At 45.8% G+C, this 554-nt stretch overlaps 1 protein-coding gene across 9 annotated transcripts in view; it reads right to left on the reverse strand.

Moving 5' to 3' along the window:
* Positions 1–554, reverse strand: part of AREL1 (apoptosis resistant E3 ubiquitin protein ligase 1) — a 51,825-nt gene that overhangs the window by 51,123 nt on the left and 148 nt on the right. The window lies entirely within an intron of this gene.

Genomic DNA, 554 nt, shown 5'->3' on the forward strand with positions numbered 1-554 from the left:
GTTCCTGGCTTTCCACAAACTTTCAAGAAATAAGTTATCTCCAAAAAGTTAAGAACCACTGGAATACATAGCAGGTACTCAAAGAAAAAAGCTACCTTTCGCTCCTTGTTCTCACAAATTCTCCCTTTTTACTTAAAGATGACACACCAAGGCTTCACAATAAATGTGCATTGTATCTCACCATTTTCTTGGCTTGGGTAAGTAGTAACATATGCAAGCTTATGCCCCAATTCTCTAGCGATAGTCTAGGCCCTCAAACACTGCTTCATTTCTCTCTTCACCGAGAGGAGTACACGGTATATACTCGAGAACAATCATCCACCTAGCTGCACAAAGCACCATATCGGCTAGGAAAACCAAATAGGAACCACAGCCTCAGGGCTGGACCATAGACACCGGATACCCCAACGCTACAGGGTGAGGAGAATGTGTTCCCCCAAACTACTGGGCAAACCAGGAGTCTGAACCCCCCTACCCTTTTCCTCCCTCTCTCTCTGGAACTCTGGTAAAGGCAGGTCTTCTGGGCTCTGCCTAAGGCTGGAGAGAAACGTTAC

Source organism: Homo sapiens, chromosome 14 (genome assembly GCF_000001405.40).
Source record: "Homo sapiens chromosome 14, GRCh38.p14 Primary Assembly".
Taxonomy (NCBI): domain Eukaryota; kingdom Metazoa; phylum Chordata; class Mammalia; order Primates; family Hominidae; genus Homo; species Homo sapiens.